This window comes from Homo sapiens, chromosome 4, assembly GCF_000001405.40.
Source record: "Homo sapiens chromosome 4, GRCh38.p14 Primary Assembly".
Taxonomy (NCBI): domain Eukaryota; kingdom Metazoa; phylum Chordata; class Mammalia; order Primates; family Hominidae; genus Homo; species Homo sapiens.
In genome coordinates this window covers 87,182,966-87,206,805 of record NC_000004.12, presented here as the reverse complement: position 1 = coordinate 87,206,805, position 23,840 = coordinate 87,182,966, and the positions used below count along the sequence as shown (strand labels likewise).

Here is a 23,840-nt window from a genome sequence, read left to right as displayed (position 1 = left end):
TCACAAGAAAGATCACATCCCATTGGGAGAATTAGGAAATAATTCATAAAAAGGAATTATTTAAGTTGGGCCTTGACATCATTCCCTCACAAGGAATAGCTTGAGCATTTGCAAATACATTTGAGGAAAACTGAATAATTAAATCTGTGATATAGTAGAAAAAGAATGGACTTAATCACAGCTGGATTGAAACCCCATCTCCCACCATTTCTACAGAACTGTGTGGCCTTGGGCAAGTCAGGGATGTTAGAACCATCCATAAGGTGATGCTTAAACAAGAGTATATTTAAGATTACTGGCAAAATAGGTGGTGCACAGTGGTTTAATAAGTAGTTTTTCCATCTTCTTTCCCCCTTTCCCTACTTTATGTAAAAAATGAATGGAGAAAAAGACTGGAAGGTAGACTAGAGCCAGAGCAATGAGGACCTTGAATGCCAGGATAAGCTGAGCTACATACATTAAGCAGTTTGGAAAGGACAGTTTGAGTTAGATAAATCCAGCAGCATCTAATCCTTGAGAGATGTTTATTGATGGCAAGGAGGAATGTGGTGATTGGTTAGGGGAAGTCACTACAATCCAGGTTAGTATGTGGATCTGAACTGGAGTACAATGAGAGAGAATAGAGTTCAATGACAATAGGAAGAAAGGGATGGATGAACAGAGATTTTTCCAAGTAGAATCCAGGAGAATTGAAGTGGATAGGTTGTGAAAGTTGAGAGGAGTCAAATATGGCTCATGTTTTGAAGTAGGGTAACTGAAAAAATGGTGTTGCTACTTGTAAAAGTAGGGGAATCTAAAAGTATAGTGAGGGAGAAGATAAGGACCTTGGTTTTTCATATATTTTGTTCTGTAATTATATTTCACTTCTAAAGTGCTTTGAACTGTAGTGTGGTAGTTAATAGCACAGGCTGGGGAGCCCTGCTGCCTAGGTTCACATCCTGGCTCCACCACTTACTTGGGCTTCACTCCATCTTGCTGTGCCTCAGTTTCTTCAGATAGTTAGGGCACAAAATATGGCATGGCAAAATAAGTGAAAGAAGACTCCTGGGTGCAGTGGCTCAGGCCTGTAGTCCCAGCATTTTGGGAGGCCTAAGTGGGCAGATCGCTTGAGTCCAGGAGTTCAAGACCAGCCTGGGCAACATGGCAAAACCCCATCTCTACAAAAAATACAAAAATTAGCCCTGTATGGTGGTGCACGCCTATAGTTCCAGCTACTTGGGCAGGGGGTGCTGAGGCGGAAGGATAAAGGGCAAAATAAAAGTAGCTACTTCATAGAGTTGTAGTGAGGACTAAATGATTTAATTTACATGCAATTAGAACGATGACGGCAGATAGTGTTTTCTATCGTGATGCTGATGTCTTCCTTTGTGTGTGTGTGTGTGTGTGTGTGTGTTTTCTTGAGTCAGAATCTTACTCTGTCACCCCGGGTGGAGTGCAGAGGCATGATCACAGCTCACTGTGGCCTCGACCTCCTGGGCTCAAGCGATCCTCCCACTTCAGCCTCCCAAGTAGCTGGGACTACAGGTGCGTGCCACCACATGTGGCTAACTTTAAAATCTGTTGTAGAGACTGGATCTTACTCTGTTGCCCAGGCTGGTCTTGAACTCCTGGGCCCAAGCGATCCTCCTAGCTTGTCCTCTCAAAGTGCTGAGATTACAGGCATGTGCCATTGTGTCTGGCCAGCCTTTATATTTTATTTTTATGGGCTGATTTATCCCTTAAGCAGTAGAGTGGCTTGTGATTATATTGCCTTGTGTCTTTTGAGTTTTATCCTGAGTATGTTGGAATGCAACAATCTTTTTTTCCATTTTATTTTTTATCATATAGCAAAATTGACATTTTTGGGGTACAAGTCCATGAATTTTAACAAATGTGTAGATTTATCTAATCATCACCCAAATCAATTTTAAATTAACACTTAAAAAAGATGCAAAATAGTTTCATCATCCCATAAAACTCTCTTTTTGCCGTCTCCTTTTAGTCATACTCTTTCCCTGCCCCTCATCCCTGTCAGCCACTGATCTGTTTTTCATCACTATGATTTTATCCTTTTGAGGATATCATATAAATGGAATCATAGAGTATGTAGTAACCTACTGAGACTGGCCTGTTTCACTCAGCAGCCATTGAGATTCATCCAGGTTGTTGCATGTACCAAGTTTGTTCCTTTTTATTGTGAGGTAGTGTTCTATTGTATGGGTGTACCCACAGTTTGTTTATCCATTGACTTGTTGAAGGTTATTTGGATTATTTTCAGTTTTTAGCAATTGCAACTAGAGCTGCTATATGTTTTCATATGCAAGTTTTTGTGTAAACACGAGCATTCATTTCTCTAGGTTAAACTGCCAGGAGTCAGATTGCTGGGTCATAGTATAAGAATATGTTTAACTGTGTAAGAAACTTCCACCTTTTTTTTTTTTTTAGAACAGTGATGCTGTTTTGCATTGCCACCAGCAGTATATGAAAATTCCAGGTGTTTCACATCCTCACCAGCACTTGGTATTGTTAGTATTGTTTATTTTAGCCATTCTAATAGATGTGTAGTGGTATTTCATTATGGTTGTGGGGTGTGTGTATGGGGATGTGGCAGGGGCTATGTTGCTTAGGCTGGAGTGTAGTGGCTATTCACAGGCATGATCGGATGATAGTGCACTACAGCTTCGAACTCTTGGGCTTAAGCAGTCATCCTATGTAGCTGAGACTACAAGCGCACACCACTGTGCCTGGTTCATTATTTTAATTTTCATTTACGTAATGGCAGTGATGTTGAACATCTTTTTGTGTGCTTATTTTCCATCCATGTGTCTTCACTGGTGAAGTGTCTTAAGTCTTTGGTCCATATTTTAATTGAGTTGTTTTTCGTTAAGTTTGAAAGTTTTATATATTTGGGATGTAAATTTTTTGTCAAATATGTGGTTTGCCAACATTTTTCTCCTGATTTGAAGCTTGTCTTTTTATTCTCTTATGGTGTCTTTCTCATAGCAAAAGGTTTTAATTTTGATGGAGTCCATTTTAGCAATTTTTTTCTTTCATATTTAACAACTAGTAGCCTGACCCCGAGTCATGAAGTTTTTCTGTGTTTTCTTCAAAAAGTTTTATTGTTTTAGGTATAGTTATATATATAACATAAAAATATATTTTATATATTATATAAAATGGATCAGAAACTATATAAAACTATAGCCAGGTGCAGTGGCTTGAAGTTCCAGACTACAGTGTGCTATGTTATGATTAATTTTTTGTGTGTTCACCTTGTTTTTTTTTTTTTTTCTTTTGTGAGACAGAGTCTTGCTCTGTCACCCAGGCTGGGGTGCAGTGGCACATTTTGGCTCACTGCAAGCTCCGCCTCCCAGGTTCACGCCATTCTCCTGCCTCAGCCTCCTGAGTAGCTGGCGCCCACCACCACACCTGGCTAAATTTTTGTATTTTTTTAGTAGAGACGGGGTTTCATCATGTTAGCCAGGATGGTCTTGATCTCCTGACCTTGTGAACCGCCCATCTCGGCCTCCCAAAGTGCTGGGATTACAGGTGTGAGCCACTGTGCTCAGCCATGTTCACCTTGTTTTTAGTGACCTTGCTAAACTTACTAGTTCTAGCTGTTCCTTGGGAATGGTTTACATAGACAATTATGTGTGCTGATAGGGACAGTTTTGTTTCTTTCCAGTCTTTGCCTTTTCTTTTTCTTGCTTTATTGCACTGGAGATAACTTTTACTTCCTATGTGGTTTTTCTTCTTTAGTATGTTGTTGTGGTGGTTTAGTATGGTTTAATATGCTGGTAATATGGTAGACTATATTTTTTTGAATATTGAAGCAGCCTTGCATAAACTCTTAGGATAAATTCTACTTGGTCGTGATCATTCTCTATATTTTGCTGGATTATATTTGCTAATATTTGTTGGGGATTTTTATGTCTGTATTCATGAGGGATATTGATTTGTAGTTTCCTTTTCTGTACTATCTTTGTTTTGGTATCAGAGTCATAGGTTTTCTCATGAAATAAGTTGGAAAGTGTTTTCTCCTCTTCCGTTTTCTGAAAGAGATTTTGTAGAGTCAAGGCTATTTCTTCTTTAAATGTTTGGTAGAATGTAGTGAAACCATCTGTGCTTGAAGATTGCTTTTCAAACCGTGATTTAATTTAATAGTTATAGCAATGCTCAGGTTGTCTTTTGGGTGAGTTTTGGTAGTTTGTGGGTTTTGAGGAATTGGTCCATTTCATCTAAGTTGTCACATTTATGTGTGTAGAATTTTTCATAGCATTCACCTTACTTACCTTTTTAATGCCAGTGGGGTTTGCAATGATAGTCTCTGATATTGCAGATTTTAGTGATGTGTGTCTTCCCTCCCCGCCTTTTTTGCCAGATGTTTATCAATTCTGTTGATCAACAGGCCAGGTGTGGTGGCTCACACCTGTAATCCCAGCACTTTGGGAGGCTGAGGCAGGTGGATCACCTGAGGTCAGGAGTTTGAGACCAGCCTGGCCAACATGCTGAAACCCCGTCTCTACTAAAAATATGTTGATCTTTTAAAAATAGCTTTTGGTTTGGATTTTTATCTATTGTTTTTTATTTTCATTTTAATTTTGTTTGTGCTGTTTATTTCCTTATGCTTGCTTTGAGTTTATTTTGTTCTTTTTCTAGTTTCTGGTTTCTGAAAGTAAAGGCTTAGAATATTGATTTAATACTTTCTCTTTTTTTTTTTGGAGAGGGAGTCTCAGTCGCCCAGGCTGGAGTGCAGCGGTGTGATCTCGGCTCACTGCAAGCTCCGCCTCCCGATTTCATGCCACCATTCTCCTGCCTCAGCCTCAGAGTAGCTGGGACTACAGGCACCTGCCACTACGCCCAGCTAATTTTTTTGATTTAGTACTTTTTTTTGATGTAAGCACATAATTTTCTGAACTTTCACCTAAGCTGCTTTTTTACCTGTAGCCTACAAATTTTGATATTTTGGTATTTTATATTTTCATTTTTGTTAAGAACTAACTTAATGAAGAAATTTCTAATTTCTCTTAGGACTTCCTCTTTGCTCCATGGATTATTTAGATGTGTGCATTTAATTTGTAAGCATTTGGAGAGTTTTCTGTTGTCTTTATTACTTATTTCTAGTTTAATTCCGTTATGGTCAGAGACTACATTTTATACAATGTAATTTCTTTTAAATTTGTTTAGGGTTGTTTATTGACTCAGGATATGGCTTATATAGGTCCATGTGCACTTGAAAAGAATGTATATTCTGCCTTTGTTGGGAGGAGTGTTCTATAAGCACCCATGAAATCCAGTTGGTTAATGATGTGTTCTGTTCTTTTATGTCATTGCTAATTCTCTGCTAACTAGTTCTATAACTGAAGAGGAATGTTTAAATCTCTTCAATTATAATTGTGAATTTGTCTGTTTCTCCCTTTAGTTCTTTTTGGTTTTGCTTTGTGTATTTTGAAGATTTGAAGATTTGAAGTTAGGTGTATGCACATTTAGACTATACTATGTCTTTGGGAATTGACACTTTTGTCATTATGTAGTGTCTTTTTTTATTGCGGTGAAAAACACAACATAAAATTTACCATCTTAACCATTTTCAAGTGTACAGTACACTAGTGTTAACTATATGTACATTGTTGTCCAGCAGATCTCTAGAACTTTATCTTGCAAAACTGAAATGATACCCATTGAACATCTTCTTTCCACCTCTCTTGGCAACCACCATTTTACTTTCTATGAATTTGACTGCTTCAGATATCTCATATAAGTGGAATCAGTGGAACTTGTCTTTTTGTTTCTGGCTTATTTCACTTTGTATAATGTCCTTAAGATTCATCCATGTTGTAGCATATGACAGGATTTTCATCATTTTTGAATCTGAATGGTATTCCATTGTATGTATAAATCACATTTTCTTTTTCCATTTATCTGATGATGTACATTTAGGCTGCTTCTACCTCTTGGTTGTTGTAAATAATGCTGCAGTGAACATGGGTGTGCAAATATGTCTTTACTATCCTGTTCTTACTTCTTTTGGATATATACCTAGAAGTGGAATTGCTGGATTTTATGGTAATTCTATTTCTAACTTTTTGAGGACTATCCATACTGTTTCCATAGCAGCTATGGAAGCCAGTTTACATTCCCACCAGCAGTGGAAAGGGTTTCCAGTTTCTCTAAGTCCTTGCCAACACTTCTTTCTTTCCCCATCCCAACAGGTGTAAGGTGATATCTCATGATTTTGATCTACATCTCCCTGATGATTAGTGATATTGAACATCTTTTTATATACAGTTGACTGTCAGTATCTGCAGGTTAGACATCCCCAGATTCAACCAAACATGGATTGAAAATGTTTTTTAAATCCAATAAAAATAATACAAATTTAAAAAATATAACAACTATTTACATAGCATTTACATTGTCTTAGGTATCATAAGTAATCTAGAGATAATTTAAAAGATAATTTAAAATATGTAGGAGGATGTACATAGGTTATATGCAAATACCATACCAGTTTATATAAGGGACTTAAGGATACAAGGATTTTGGTATCTGCAGGGATCCTGCAACCAGTCCTCTGAGGATACTGAAGAAGGGCTATACTTCTTGGCCATTTATATATCATCTTTGGAGAAATGTCTATTCAAGTCCTTTACCTTTTTTTTTTTCTTTTTTTTTTTTTTTTTTTTTTGAGGCAGTCTCACTCGGTCACCCAGGCTGGAGTTCAGTGGCATGATTACAGCTCACTGCAGCCTTGAATTCTTGGGCTCAAGTGATCCTCCCACCTTAGCCTCCTGAGTAGCTGGGACTATAGGCACATGCTACCACGTCCAGCTAATTTTTGTATTTTTTGTAGAGACAAGGTCTGTGTTGCCCAGGCTGATCTCGAACTCCTGGGGCTCAAACAATCCTCGAGTATCAGCCTACCAGTGTTGAGATTATAGGAGTGAGCCACCACACCTGGCATGTTTTTGGTTTTTGTTTGTTTGTTTTGTTTTGTTTTGAGACAGGTGCTTGCTGTATTGCCCAGGCTGACCTTGAACTCCTGGGCTCAAGTGATCCTCCTACCTTAGCCTCCCAAGTAGCTGGGACTACAGTCATTCACCAGCCATTGCACCCAACCTTTTGCCCATTTTAAAATTGGGTTCTTCATTTTTTTTTTTTGTTTTTTTTTTAATTGAGTTGTAGGAGTTCTTTGTATATCTGGATATTAACCCCTTTTCAGGTATATATTTGCAAATACTATTTTCTTCCATTCTGTAGGTTGCCTTTTCTTCTCTATTGATTGTTTTGCTGCATAGAAGTTTTAAAGTTTGATGTCCCATTTGTCTGTGTTTACTTGTGTTGCTTGTGCTTTTTACATCATATACAAGAAATCATTGATAAATTCAATGTTGTGAATCCTTTTCCCCACGTGTTTTCCTCCAGTAGCTTTATGGTTTCAAGTCTAGTCATTTTATGGTTTCAGGGCTACATTTAGGTCTTTAATTCATTTTGAGTTAGTTTTTGTATATGGTGTAAGGTGAGGGTCCAACTTCTTTCTTTTGCATGGAATATTTTTATATAGTGTTTTTTATCACTAACAATTTTATGTGTTTGATATTATAGCTACTCTTCAGTTTTTAAAAATTCTTTAGGGTTTTTTTGTTGTTCTTGTTACTGTTGGCGTGGTGTGTCTTCTTTCTATCCAATTCCTTTAACCTATTTGTGTCTTTATACTTAAAGTAGGTTTTTTTCTTGTACGCATTTGATAGTTGGGTTTTGCTTTTTCTTATCCAATCTGAAAATCTCTCTTTTTAAAAAAGTCTTTACTTGAGACCATTGTAGATTCACTTGCAGTGGTAAGAAGTAATAGATCTTATGTTTCCTTCACCCAGTTTCCCTCAATGATAACAACTTGCATAACTTTTGTACTAGGAAATTGACTTTGATACATTGTCTAAGGACATTTAGGCTGCTTCTACCTCTTGGTTGTTGTAAATAATGCCACAGTGAACATGGGTGTGCAAATATTCAAATTTCACCTGTTTTACATGCATTCATTTGTGTGTATGTGTATGTTATCACATAGAGATTCATATGATCACTACTGCAGACAAGATACAGTACAGTTCCATCACAAGTATCTCTTGTGCTACTCATTTATAGCCACAGCTACTCCTCTCCTCTCCTCTCATCCTTCCCTAACCTCTGGCAAACAATAATCTGTTCTCCACCTCTATAATTTTGTCATTTTGAGAATGTTATATAGATAGAATCATACTGCATGGCTTTTTTTATTGAGCATACTTTGAGATTCATCCGGTTGTTACATGTTTCAATAGCTTGTCCCTTTTGCTGAATAGCATTCCTGAGTCTCTGCCTTTAATTGGAAGTGGTTAGTCTATTTATATTTAATGTGATTATTGATATTGTTGAGTTTAAATCAACCATCTTACTCAGGGATCAGCAAACTATGAGCTTGGGGATTAAATCACACTCACCAAGTGTTTTTTCTTATTTTATTTTATTAGACACAGTCTCATTCTGTTGTCCAGGCTGGAGTGCAGTGGTGTGATCTCAGCTCACTGCAACCTCCGCCTCCCGGGTTCAAGTGATTCTTGTGCCTCAGCCTCCCAAGCAGCTGGAGTTACAGGTGCATGCCACCATGCCTGGCTGGTTTTTGTATTTTTTAGTAGAGACGGGGTTTTGCCATGTTGGCCAGGCTGGTCTCGAACTCCTGACCTCAGGTGAGCCACCCACCTTGGTCTCCCAAAGTGCTGGGATTATAGGCATGAGCCACTGCACCGGGCCACTAAGTGGTTTTTTTTTTTTTTTAATAATTAAAGTTGTATTGGAACATGGCTTTATTTATTTATTTATTTATTTATTTATTTACTATTGTCTGTGACTGCTTTTGTGTTACAATGACAGAGTTCAGTAGTTGTGATAGAGACCCATATGGCCCACAAAGCCAAAAATATCTACTCTGTGGCCCTTTACAGAAAAAGTTTTTAAGCCCTGATTATGCTATTTGTTTTCTATTTGTCCCATCTGTTTTTTGTTGATTTTGCAGCAGGAATGTGAATTTAAGAGAGATATTACAGTGGCTGGTGCCTGTTAGAATATCTATAGATGCTTTCCTCAGATAAAATTTTAGACCTGACAGAAGGTGTCTATATTCATTTTTTATTGTGTGTAACAAATTACCACAATTTAGTGGCTTAAAATAACATGCATTTATTATCTCACAGTTTCCGTGCATCAGGAGTTTGGGCACAGTGTAGTTGAGTCCTTTGCTTAGGATCTCATAAGGCTGCAATAAAGCTATTGGCCAGGCTGTATTATGTAGAGGCTCAATTATGAAGAAATCTGCTTCCACACTTATTCAGGTCATTGGCAGAATTCATTTCCTTGGAGCTGTATGACTGAGGGCCTGGCTTTTTATTGACTGTCAGGTGAAAGCCTCTCTCAGGTCCTAGGGATTGCCTATAGTTTCCCTGCTACATGACTGTCTCCATGGTGGTTTGCTTTTCAAGGCCTGCAGGAAAGCTTCTTACTCCAGTCTGCTCATACTGTATTCTATAATGTAACATAATCAAGAGAGTGGCATCTCATCACTTTCCCACATTCCGTCAATTAGAAGCAAGTCACAGGTTCTTCCTGCATGCAAGGGGATTATATGAAGACATGACTCATTAAGGATCACTGTCATGTATGTCTGCCACAGAAACCATAAGAAGGCATTAATAACTGTAATCTATAACCTTACATTAACCATTGATTTCTGTCAAAAGCTGGAAATGATGAGATTAACAATAAAGAACCTAATGTAGCTAAAGTTCTGGTTAGAATATTTAGAGTTTTCTGAAACTACATAATAAGCAGAGCTTTCCACTCTAATAATACCAATATTTTAAACAAGCACTTGTAAATTCATTATTGTATTTGATGTATTTCTCAGGATAGTGCCATGAGGTAGATAGGTATCCCTGTTTATAGATGAAGAAACTGAGGATTAGTAAAGCCTCAGTTTTACAAATTACACAGCCTCAAAAAAAATTACACAGCCAGTAAGTGATGGAATAGGTGTTTCATTAGTAACTTAAAATCTCTGTTTCTGTCACCAAAGTAGAATTGTAGCATAGAATTATGGATGGTGTGGATATTCATCAAATATGCTTTGATGATGAGGAAAGTTTGATTTTATATGTAAATACTAATAAGTTCTATGTGAAAATGCAAATAAAATGAGATCTTTTTAAGAGTGCAGCATTTCGTATGTTTGGCAGTAAAATATTTTTAATCCTCAAAATATTTCCTTAAGTGGTATCTCTATTTTACAGAAGAGATCGAGGTCTAAGCAGGTTGTCATTTGCTCAAGCTCATACAGTTGGTATGTGGTAGAACCATAGTCTGACTTCAGAATCTAGGATGAACCTAATTCAATCAAAATATCCTTCTGTTTTGGCATTGCATTACTAAATTGTATAGCTGGAAGGCAGCTATACTAGTGTTTTACTGTATATCTCTATTCCAGTAATTTCATCTCTACTTAATTGTTATCATCTGTTAAGTGGGATTGTTTATCTGCACTTGATAGTAAAATACGGTCTACTTAGGCTTGGATGAAAAAATCTTTAGTGAACTTTACCTATCATCTATAGGATCATGTTGTTCTGCTAAAAAAAAAAAAACTCCCAGTTAAGCCTCAAAACTTAAGATTTTTAGTTCATGGCCACGTATGATGGTTCAAGCATGTAATCCCAGCACTTTGAGAGGCCTAGGTGGGTAGATTGCATGAGCCCAGGAGTTTGAGACCAGCATGGGGAACATGGAGAAACCCCATCTCTAAAATAAAAATTAAAAAATAGAAAAATTTTAGTTCATGGCCTTTCTCTTTGAAGATAGCATATTACACATCTCAAAAGTCATGTGCTCAAGTCAGTTGTTCTTGTTGGATTTTAAAGGAGTTCCTTTATTGATATAAAATAATTAGCAAAAGTGAATTATGTGTTATTTAGCATAAAAACAAAGTTTTTGTTCTTTTATAAATATGATTGATATAGTTATTTTGCATATATAGTATTAACAAATTATAGTTAACAATAATTTTTTTCTTTTCGTTTGTCTCTACCTGTTTTATTGTTGATTTTTCAGTCACAGCAAACTGTACAATGGCAGTTGAGTGGGTTTTGAAAAACGTCTGAATTGTAGTGTCTACATCTACCTTCTGCCTTCTCTCTACCCTTTGAAAAAAAATAAATGGCATGTTTGAGAAGAGAGCTCTATTAAAAGAGGAATATTGCAAATGGCTTCAGATTCTATGAGTAGTAAACAAGCTAGGAATCACATTACAAAGGGGAAAAGGCAACAACAGCACCAGCAAATAAAGAACAGATCCTCAATTAGTGATGGTGATGGAGAAGATTCCTTTATTTTTGAAGCAAATGAAGCTTGGAAAGATTTTCATGGTTCTCTTCTTCGATTTTATGAAAATGGAGAACTCTGTGATGTCACACTCAAGGTGAGATTGCCTTTTTTGTACTTTTCTCAGGCCTCTTCAGTGTAATATGAGAAATGGGGGTTTCTGTAACCATACAAGGCAAATTTTGTTGCTATACATATTTGATACAGTCAGAATGCTTTTAGTCTCAATCTTTTTTTTTAGTGTAGGAGAAAGGACATAGAGGGTAAATGAAGAGAAGTTAGCATAAGATAAAATTATTGTACTAATTTAATGTTGATATTCATTATCTCTTAGTTAACTTCTGAGAGTTCTGAAACCCTAGAACAACAAATATTATTAGTGAAATTAATAAATTGCTGTTGACCAGATAAGCTTTTCACTTGTGAATTTAAATATCTTGATGTATTTGCTTACTCTGAATACAGAAGTAAGTTAGAAGTCAGGAATTTTGGATTGTTTACTCAGCTATACTAGTGTTTTACTGTATATCTCTATTCCAGTAATTTAATCTCTACTTCATTGTTACCATCTGTTAAGTGGGATTGTTTATCTACACCTGATAGTGAAATATAATCTACTTAGCCTTGGATGAAAAAGTCCTCAGTGAACTTTGCTCATCATCTGTAGGATCATGTTGTTCTCCTAAAAGCAACCAGTTTTAATAAAATTGGAAAAGTGATAAAGCAGTATGGAAAAGCCTTTGTTGATTGTTTCTCATTACACATTTAAAGTACTTTCTTCTTATCTCTCAGTGAAATATTAAAATTTTTTGGTGAACTCTTGGGCTTAAGCAGTCCTCCTGCCACAGCCGCCTGAGCAGCTGGGACTAGATGCATGCACCACCGTGCCTGACTAATTTAAAACATTTTTTTTGTAGAGATGGGGTCTTGCTATGTTGCCCAGGCTGGTCTCAAACTCGGGCTCAAATGATCCTACTGCCTTGGGCCTCCCAAAAAGCTGGGATTATAACTGTGAGCCACTGTGCTAATGATAGATAATTATTTCTCATAGTTCTGAAGGTTGGGAAGTCTAAAATCAAGGTACCAGCAAGTTTGGTGTCTGGTGAGGGCTGCCCTCTCTGTTTCTCAGATTTTGCTTGTTACAGCATCCTCCAGAGGGGATGAACACTGTGTCCTCACATGGAAGGCAGAAGGACAAAATGGGCCTAAGCTAGTTCCCTCCAGTCCTCTCTTAAGGCACTAATCCATTCATGAGCACAGAGCCCTTATGATTTCATCATTTCCCAAAGGTTCCCCCTCTTAATATTAGCACAGTGGGGATTAAGTTTCAACACATGATTTTGGAGGACATTTAGAAGATAGCACAGATGTAATTTAATAGAAGAGAAAAATAATAATGGCGAAAGTGATCCTATAGTTAACACTTAAGCATTCTATATTAAGAAATTTTAAGATTCTGTGTTTAAGGAAGATCACCTTTACTTCATCCATTCCGCTAGTAAATCAGTATTTTAATCTTTTTCATGTTTCTCAGAAAGGGGTATAATCATGTGCCACATAAGGACATTTTGGTCAACGATGGACCCCATATACAGTGGTGGTCCCATAAGATTAGAATGGAGCTGAAAAATTCCTATCACTTAGTAATGTTGTAGCTATCATAATGTCCTAGCACAGTGCTTTACTCACATGCTTGTGGTGATGCTGGTGTAAACAAACTTACCTCATTGCCAGTTGTATAAAAGGTATAACACATGGTTATATATAGTGCCTAATACCTATTCATGCTAATAAATGATTATGTTACAGGCTTATGTATTTACTCTACTTCTTATTGTTTTTGTAGAGTGTACTCTTGCTACTTCTAAAGAAGAAACATTACATAAAAAAAGAAAAAAATTGCAGAAAGTTGATTCTTAATAAAAACAAGAAAAGAAAAAACGTTAACTGTAAAAACAGCCTTAGGCAGGTCCTTCAGAAGGTATTCAAGAGGAAGGCATTGTTACTATAGGAGATGACAGCTCCATGTGTCCTCTCCTTTCCAGTAGGACAGGATCTGGAGGCGGAAGACAGTGATATGGATGATCCTGACTTGATATAGATGCAGGCTACTGTCTGAGTTTGTGTCTTAGTTTTTAACAAAAAAGTTTAAAAAGTAAAAGAAAAAAATTTTAAGTAGAAAAAAGTTTTTGGAATAAGCATATAAAAACATTTTTGTAGAGCTGTGCAATGTGTGTGTTTTAGGCTAAGTGTTATTACAAGAGTCAAAAAGTTTTAAAAAATTGAAGTTTATGGAAAAAGTCACAGTAAGCTAAGGTTAATTATGAAAGAAAGAAAAATATTTTTTTTAATTTAGTGTAGCATAAGTGTACAGTGTTTATAAAGTCTACAGTAGTGTACAATAAAGTCCTAGGCTTTCCCATTCACTCACCACTCAGTAATTCACCCCGAGCCACTTCAGGCCCTGCAGCTCCATTCATAGCAAATACCTTATACGGGTGTACTTTAAAAAAAATACCTTATACTGTATTTTTACTGTACCTTTCCTATGTTTATATGTTTAGATATGCAGATAGTTACCATTCTGTTTCAGTTGCCTACAGTGTGCAGTACAGTAATAAGCCATGCAGGTTTGTAGTCTGAGAGCAACAGGCTGTACCATATAGCCCAGGTATGTAATAGGCTATACCATCTAGATTTGTGTAAGTACATTCTGTGATATTTGCACAATGATAAAATCACCTGACACATTTCTCAGAATGTATCCCCATCCTTCAATGACACATGACTGTATTAGAACTGCTTACTACAGCCTACGTGTGTAGTATAAGCTACGTACATAGGCTATATGGTATAGCTTGTTGTTGCTGGGATATAAGCCTGCGTAGCCTATTACCATACTGAAAACTGTATGCAGTTGTAACACAATGGTATTTATCTAAACATATCTAAACAGAAAAGGTACAGTAAAAAGTAGGCAAAGGACATGAACATATACTTCTCAAAAGAAGACCCACAAGTGGCCAACAAATACATGAAAAAATAACTCATCATCACCAGTCATTAGAAGAATGCAAACCAGAACCACAAAGAGATACCATCTCACATCAGTCAGAATGGCTTTTGTTAAAAAGTCAAAAAATAACAGATGTTGGCAAGGCTGTGGAGAGAAGGGAACACTTATACACTGTTGGTGGGAATGTAGATTAGTTCAGCCACTGTGGAGAGCAGTTTGGATACTTCTCAAAGAACTGAGACTTGAACTACCATTCAACCCAGCAATCCTCCTAGTGGGTATATACCCAGAGGAAAATAAATCATTCTATCAAAAAGACACATATACCCGCATGTTCATTGCAGTGCTATTCACAAATAGCAAAGATATGGAATCAGCCCAGGTGCCCATCAGTGGTGGATTGGATATGGAAAATGTGTTATATATACACTGTGGAATACTACACAACCATAGAAAAGAATGAAATCATGTTATTTGCAGCAACATACACGCAGCTGGAAACCATTATCCTAAGTGAACTAATAAAGAAGCAGAAAACCAAATACCACTTGTTCCCACTTGTAAGTGGGAACTAAATATTGAGTAAACATGGTCATGAAAATGGGAAAAATAGTGGTGGATACAATATGGGGGAAGGAGGGAAGGCGGTGGGGGTATGAATTGAAATAAACTGTTTATTTTATGTTGTGTATTATGCTCACTACCTGGGTTATAGATTCATTTATACACCAAACCTCAGCATGATGCAATATATCTATGCAACAGACCTACACATGCACCCCTAATTCTAAAGTAAAAGTTGAAAAAAGCAAAATATGTATATATATTTACAATAAAAGAAAAATATAAATTTAAAATAAAAATAAAACTGTAAGAATGAAGGAATAGTAAATTATTTTTTACTTTATAAGGGGAAAGGATTATAGGCTTATTTTATTATTTTGAGACAAGGTCTTGCTCTGTCACCCAGGCTGGAGTACAGTGATGCAGTCATGGGTCATGGCAACCTCCACCTCCTGGACCCAAACCCTACTCCACCCCCTGAGTAGCTGAGACTACAGGTGCACACCATCACACCCAGTTAATTTTTGCACTTTTTGTAGAGAGGGGGTTTGGCCATGTTGCCCAGGCTGGTCTTGAACTCCTGGACTCAAGCGATCTGTCTGCCTCAGCCTCCCAAACTGCTGGGATTACAGGCATGAGCCACCATGCCTGGCCTCTAGTAATTTAAAAAATATTTCCCTTTACATACAGCTTTTAAGAAGCACAATGTTATTTTATTTGTATATTATATATACACTCTTCACTATTCATTTTAAATACAAAGCAGATCTTGAGATATGTAGAAACCTAAGCCATCTTTAAAGTTGAGGATGTTCTTATTTATAAAGGTTTTCCTTTACATTCTGATTTCACTATTTTTGTAATTATAACTAAACTGTGATTTGTTATAACTCATGATCACAAATTGAGCATGTATCTGTACCTCATTAAAATTGTATTTAGACATTAAAAAGAAAAAGAAAAAGAGGCCACAGATAGCTGCTCTGTGCCTTCCACCATCTGAAGACACAAAGAAGAGTTGGCATCAGTGAACTTAGAGCAAGTCCTTACCAGACATGGATTTGCCAGTGCCTTGATCTTGAACTTTCTAGTCTCAAGAACTATGAGAAATAAATTATGTTGTTTATCAGCCACCCAGTGATAGTTTGTTATAGCAGCCTGAATAGACTAAACAGTAAGCTTTTTTTTTTTTTTTTAAAGACAGAGTCTCACTCTGTCACCCAGGCTGGAGTGCAATGGCACGATCTTGGCTCACTGCAACCTCTGCCTCCCGGGTTCAAGCGATTCTTCCACGTCAGCCCCCCGAGTAGCTGGGATTATAGGCACCCACCATCATGCTCAGCTAATTTTTGTATTTTTATAGAGATGGGGTTTCACCATGTTGGCCAGGCTGGTCTTGAACTCCTGACCTCAGGTGATCCGCCTACCTTGGCCTCCCAAAGTGCTGGGATTACAGGCATGAGCCACTGCCCCTGGCCAGTAGGTTATTTTTTATTTTGAAGTATCAAGATTATTATTACCTACAAAGTTATGCAACTGTATATCCACTATAATAGTATTTACAGTAATCAAAAAGTCATAATGTAAATGTCAAAACAACATTGAAATAGTAATGAATAATATACATGTAGAGTAAAAGATATTAAAGAAGATGCTTGCATAAGTTGCTAATGATGAATGTTAAAGTATATTAGAGTAGAAGGGCATTTTTCAACTGATATGGAAAATTTTCCTGTATATATAATGGTTAATAATACTAAGATAAAATTTTACTTTTTCTAAAATTCTTTTTTTTTTTTTTTTTTTTGAGATGGAGGCTCACTCTGTTGCCCAGGCTGGAGTGCAGTGGCACAATCTCAGCTCACTGCAACCTCTGCCTCCGAGGTTCAAGCGATTCTCCTGCCTCAGCCTCCCAAGTAGCTGGGACTACAGGCGCGTGCCACCATGCCCGGCTAATTTTTTTTTTTGTATTTTCAGTATAGACGGGGTTTCACCATGTTAGCCAGGATGGTCTCCATCTCCTGACCTCCTGATCCGCCCTCCTCGGTGGATCCCGCCCAAAGTGCTGGGATTACAGGCGTGAGCTGCGCCCGGCCTTTACTAAACTTTTTTAAGTGAAGTGGAGATAGTTTACAAAATAAATGTTAACTCTTTTTTTTTTCAATAGCAACAAAAGCACAGATTTATTGAAATGAAAGTACACTCCACAGAGTGGGAGCGGGCTCGAGCAAGTGGCACTCGAGCCATGATGAAGTCCTAACTAGTGGAGTTAGGAATGCTTTGTATGTTGATAGTCAAGTGCTTTACTAATCCAAAAGCCTTATTTTCATTGTATTTCCATTCATATTGGCTAATCTCTGGAAAATTACTCAAAGTTTTTATTAATAGTTGGTATTTCAAGCTTTTTAAACAAAAGTCTAAGGAATCATTTAATGAATGTTGATATTCTACATATTTTAATACTGAAGTGTGACATGATTTTTCCCTGAGTACTGTTAAGTTTAGCCTGAAGCTCCCACCTTATGTATTTTAAACTTGGCCTAAAAGTTTCTCTGTACACAGTAAACTGTAACCTAACTGGTTGTGTAAACAGACTGCAACCTACTCTTGTGCTAATCACTGAGGTTCAGCCAATTAAAGGCAACCAGTTGTTCAACCTGTGTTCAAGTAAGGCTGACCCTGAGCTGTAACTGACCCGTCTGTTTCTGTACCTCACTTCCGTTTTCTGTGTGTCACCTTCCTTTTTCTGTCCGTAAATAATTTTCGACTATGCACCAGCACCAGTGTCTTTGAACCTATTCTTGTTCCAGGACTGCCCAATTCTTGAATCCGTCTTTGCTCAGTTAAACTCCGTTAAATTTAATTGTCTAAGGTTTTTCTTTCGTAATACTATCTTGAATTAGTCACACGTTCACTGATCTAACAAAGAAAGAATGTAAATTAGAAAATTAAGTAGTATCAGGGACATATAGTATTTATATAATTCTAAATACACGGTAATGTCTAATATTATGTAGCTTGTGTGTTTTTCATCCAATTTTAAACATCAGGTCTTTAGACTTTGATTCCTTTCATTTTCAAATTTCTAATGAAATGATTTTGGTAATTGGTAATTATTTTTTTGTACCAGAGAAAGAAAATGTACAAATAAACTTTCAGGAATGTAATTAACTATATAACATCAAAGGAGAATCAGTGCATTAAAAAGCCAAATTTTTGGCTGTTCCTATTTATACATGTGGCTTAAAGATCTTTATAAAATAAAGATGGATATTTATTCTAAAAGGGTACATAGGGGTGTATGTGTTAAATAGCCACATTTTAGTTTGTTTGAATCAAGACTCAAATGGAATTGTAAAGGGACAGAATCTTATTAAAAACAACATGAAAATGACTTGCCGGCCATTGATTTGTACAGCTTGGATGGCAAGTGTTAAAATAATGGTTATCTAGAAATTGTAGAACCCTATTTTATGATACTATTATGTAAGAGAGTGTTGGCAAGTTATTTAATGGAGCAGGTTTAAGTCATGTGAGACTTACAAATATTTGCATAGAAACTGAATCCCAGTGGTGGCATGTGGAAATAATTTTTTAAAGGATATGCTTAGGCTATTTAAAAGTTATTTAGTATCAGATTTCAGATCCCATTTTAGAGCTGACGTGAATTTGAAAACATGCCAAGCTTTATGTTATAGTCTACATTACAACTTTAGTCTCAATGGAATCTAAATACTGCCTTGTGAGTTCTGTGAAAAAATTTAATATAGCATAACAGACAGAAATGATTGTCTTGTACTTTCTGAAATAAGTGATACTGCTTCTTCCTCCACATTAGTGAAAAAAGACTGAGGAAGGGGCTTTTATAAGCAAAACCATTTATACATTTGAACACTCTAGGAGTTGTCATTTTAAAATTAGTTCTCAAATAATGAGATACAACTGTTTATTATATAATCAAAACACTACATGAAAACAGGAAAACTGTTAAAATAGTACTATAACTGTTACTTGTATTTGATTATTATAAACTCCTGGGAAAATGGGATAAATACTGTATTAAAAAGAAGATATCTTCCCACTCAGTACCAAAAACTTCCAGATGTAAGTAAAAATTTAAGTGTAAAACATAAAACCATAAAAGTAGTATAAAAAATACGTGAAGTAAATATAGAATATTAGAATGATTCCCATTTCTAGCAGGTACCTAAAACAATAAATAAAAAGACTTCATTTAATTACATAAAAATCCATAGGGTTTTTATATAAGAGAATAAAATTTGAAAGCAAACTAAAAGAGAAGTTTGAAATATATATGACAAATGCCTAATACTCTGATTATATGATGAGTACTTATAAATAAAAAATTTGTAGTTCATAGAAGAAATACAAATAGCTCAAAATTTATAAATGATTCAATCTTAAGAGCAAAAAAGAAAAAAAAAGATGAGATCTTTTTATTCATCAAATTGGCAACTATGGCCGGGCACAATGGCTCACACCTATAATCTTAGCACTTTTGGAGGCCGAGGCGGGAGGATTGCATGAGCTTAGGAGTTTGAGATCAACCTGGGCAGCATAGACTTTGTACAACAACAACAACAATAACAACACTCAAGATATGGTGCAAATACTGTAAGAAGCTCAGAAATGGACAGTTTGACATTATGTATTCACATATTCACATTGTATCCTTTGAAGCAGCATCTCTACTTACAATAATTTATCTGTTGGAATAATAGAGAATGTGAATAACGATTTAGTTACAAAGAAGTTCACTAGTGTGCTATTTGTAATAGCATACTGTTGGAAGCTATCTGATTTTTCAATAATTAAGGTGATGAGATTGCAGTGTTTTTTTTTTACTGCTTTTATGTGAGCTATATCATTTCAAGATAATGTAAATAGAAAATAAAAAAAAACCTCAGTTGAGCTCATAGTAAATACTACTAAATATTTACTCTCTGCTCCAGTTTTCTGATTGATAAATTGTGGATAATAATAGTACTTACTCATAGGGATGTTGGGACAACTGAGTTAGTATATGAAAAGCACTTAGAAGGCCAGGCTCTGTGGCTCATGCCTGTAATCCTAGCACTTTGGGAGGCCAAAGTGCGTGAATCACTTGAGCCCAGGAGTTTGAGACCAGCCTGGGCAGCATGGCAAAACCCTGTCCCTACTGAAAAATACAAAAATTAGCTGGGTGTGGTGGCACATGCCTGTAGTCCTAGCTGCTGGGGAGGCTAAGTTGGGGGATTGCTCGAGCCCAGCAGGTTGAGGCTGCAATGAGCCATGATCACGTCACTGCACTCCAGCCTGGGCAACAGGGTGAGACCCTATTTCAAAAAAAAAAAAAAAAGCACTTACAATAGTGGTTGGCATGTAATGAGTGCTAACTGATGTTTGCTGGTATTAATTCACAAAATGTCCCTGAAATATAACATAGAAAATCATGGTTTGTTGTGTGTATGTTACAGATACATATATAAAAGAGGCCGAGTGTGGTGGCTCACACTGGTAATCCCAGCACTTTGGGAGGCTGAGGCAGGTGAATCAGTTGAGGCCAGGAGTTCAAGACCAACCTGGCCAACGTGGTGAAACCCTGTCTCTACTGAAAAAACAAAACCCACAAAAATTAGCCAGGCGTGGTGGTGCACGCCTGTAATCCCAACTACTTGGTAGGCTGAGGCAGGAGAATTGCTTAAACCCAGGAGGCAGAGGTTGCAGTGAGCTGAGATTGCGCCGCTGCTCTCCAGCCTGGGCAACAGAGCAAGGCCTTGTCTCAAAAAAAAAAATTTTTTTTTAATTTTAAAGTATGTGTATATATATATATGAATATGATATGTGGTTAATTTGGAATATGAAAATTACCTGACTTTAAGAAACTGGCCTACTTGAAAGTAAGTGATCAAAGGATCGCCTTATAAAAAGATACTCTAAATTTGTCTGGAAATTTTGTCCCTGCTACAAACACATGTTAAATGCTGACCTGAAGCTGATTTTGATATTAAACAGAATCTTTCTTGGTTTCTTTTGAACAGGTTGGCTCAAAGCTAATCTCTTGTCACAAGCTGGTATTGGCTTGTGTTATTCCCTACTTTAGAGCCATGTTTCTTTCTGAAATGGCTGAAGCCAAGCAAACGCTGATTGAGATTAGAGATTTTGATGGTGATGCAATAGAAGACTTGGTAAAGTTTGTCTATTCTTCACGGCTCACTTTGACTGTTGACAATGTCCAGCCTCTCTTATATGCAGCCTGTATTCTGCAGGTTGAACTGGTGGCTAGAGCTTGTTGTGAATACATGAAGTTACATTTTCATCCCTCCAATTGCCTGGCAGTAAGAGCCTTTGCAGAAAGTCACAATCGAATAGACTTAATGGACATGGCGGATCAGTATGCCTGTGACCATTTTACTGAAGTAGTGGAGTGTGAAGACTTTGTAAGTGTATCACCGCAGCACCTCCATAAGCTTTTGTCCTCCAGTGATCTAAATATTGAAAATGAAAAGCAGGTCTATAATGCTGCCATCAAGTGGCTTCTTGCCAATCCTCAGCATCATTCCAAATGGTTGGATGAAACACTTGCACAGGTAGGAGCTGAAATAAGATTTCACACAGAAATGAAGTGATATGGAAGCAAATCAACATGCTTCATTTATTAGGAAAAGTGTAGATTATTTCAAGGAATATAGAAATTATTGATGTAATAAATAATAGAAATGGCTTTTAGCTCTCTAATTTTCCTGTTAACTTGCTGTGCTGTTTCAGGATGAATCTAAATTTGTCACATTTGAATTAGCAATATCATTCTCTGCTTTTAACCTGAATATTTAAAATATTCCTTTGGGATACTAATGATGAATATTTTATTTATGCCAATAGAAAATGGTTTGAAGAAATAGCTCTAAATTAATATACTTTATAATTATTGTTTTATAATGGTTTCTAAATTTTAATGAATTATTTTGCTAATAAAAGTATAGTTATTCCTAATGTGGATAGATTTATTATGTAAACAACCATAGGACATCACTTCTATTTTCTTCTCTCACCGTAGTTTGACTTTTTTTAAACCTCAGAAATGTGTCTCATTGTTACTGTTCTTATTTTTTACTGTCAATAGGAGTTACCAGGATAAGAAGATTATAGGCCCTTGTGATCTTTTTTTCTTTTGTCGTCTTCCTCTCCTTTCTCTCCCTTCCCTCCTTCCCTTCCTCCATTTTTTCCTTTCTTCATTTATTCCTGAGAAGTAAAATGACATTTTGCTACTTAAAAGAAGAGTGTTCTTATTTACTTATTTTTTCTAAATTAAATGCTTTGTTAAAACTTAGTGCTTGATAAAAGCACTCAGTGATAATTCTCGTGATTTTTAATAACAAAGTTTCCTAATAGCATTATCAGAAACTTAAACAAATAGTAAGAAGAATGAAGAAGAATGAAAGTGCTTATAATTACCAGTGTTCTCATTTTAGATATTTATAGGCAGATGAAGTAAACCTATTCAGAGTATGATGATAAGACATTTTTTCAAGTGCATATCACAATATTTATGCATTCATATGAGTATCAAAGTTCAGAACACATTTACATCTTCTCAGAATTATTTTGAAAGTAAGTTTGTCAGCAAAGCAAATAGAAAGTTTCATTATCTTGCAGCTATATCTTATTTGTGTATATGTGTTTTTCTTTAAGATGGTAAGGCAGATTTCGTTCAAGGGGGGCCATAACAATAGATACAGGGACTGCTGCAACGAAGTCTTGCAGTTGGGGAGAGAGACTGGACTCAACCCCTTACGTGTGTGTGTGCTTTTAACTCAAAATAGCATTACCTGGTTTCATCATCCCCTTTAATCCACTGGAAAATCAGTGTATCTTTAATAGAGGAATGGTGAATGCCTCTGTTGAAAGAGGGGATGCATCCCTAAGTTAGTATATTCCCTTCCAAGATCATTAATTTGAAGAAAACAACACTTGTTTCAGATATGAATTTTTACATTTTTAAGTAAGAAATCACATTTCCCTATGTTTAATCTTAGCTTAAAAAGGCAAAAGAACAAAGCACAGCACTTTTGTTTTGATTGTGCCTTTATCAATAGAAGGGCCTTGTGATTATGTCAGTACCGTTTTTGGAAGTAAGCAATTTGAATGAAGACAATTCAATTATAAAGCCTATTTAAACCGATATTTAAAGTGGGTGGATATAATTTAACGTGTAGTCTGATTGCATTTGAGCAGACCAGTACTGGAAATTGCTTATAATTTGGCACATTGAAAATCATGAACATGTTACATTTCATGAAGTAACAACTTAAGTTTTAAAAAGAGAACATGCTGCAGTAGAAGTGGAGAATTACTCATCTTGTTTTCACCTTTATTTGATACAATTTTTAGACTTTATATTTTCCCAAGAAAATATAAAATTTGTTGTATTGCAACTATTCATGATCTTAGGTTCGCCTGCCATTGTTGCCGGTTGATTTTCTTATGGGTGTTGTGGCAAAAGAACAGATTGTCAAGCAAAATCTAAAATGTAGAGATTTACTGGATGAAGCAAGAAATTACCACCTTCACTTGAGTAGCAGAGCAGTACCTGACTTTGAATACTCCATTCGGACTACCCCAAGGAAGCATACTGCTGGTAACCAAATTATTTTGTCAATTCTCCTGGAAGGATCTTTGTTGTATTTGAGGGTTGTTCATGTGTGCCCAAACTTAGTTGTAATATAATTAGTGTCTGATTGCCTTAAAGTAATAATTGGCAAATACGGTTTTATATATTTATAATTTTTACTGTACATTATTTAGTTTTACCAATAAGCCAGTTTTTTAAAAAGCCGTAATCAGTCCTGTATACTCTGAAGAGCCTACTGAAATA

At 36.3% G+C, this 23,840-nt stretch overlaps 1 protein-coding gene across 9 annotated transcripts in view; it reads left to right on the top strand.

Moving 5' to 3' along the window:
• The window catches only part of KLHL8 (kelch like family member 8), an 80,429-nt gene that overhangs the window by 33,726 nt on the left and 22,863 nt on the right, over positions 1 to 23,840 (top strand). For 5 of the 9 annotated variants that reach the window (XM_047416012.1, XM_047416013.1, NM_020803.5 and 2 more), the window contains 3 exons: positions 11,116 to 11,482; positions 21,007 to 21,555; positions 23,417 to 23,603. In XM_047416012.1, coding sequence (XP_047271968.1) covers positions 11,267 to 11,482; positions 21,007 to 21,555; positions 23,417 to 23,603 — 952 coding nt within the window. In that variant the 5' untranslated portion in view covers positions 11,116 to 11,266. The remainder of the gene's footprint in view (positions 1 to 11,115; positions 11,483 to 21,006; positions 21,556 to 23,416; positions 23,604 to 23,840) is intronic. The other 4 variants (XM_047416014.1, NM_001292007.2, NM_001292006.2 and 1 more) reach the window with 3 other exon arrangements.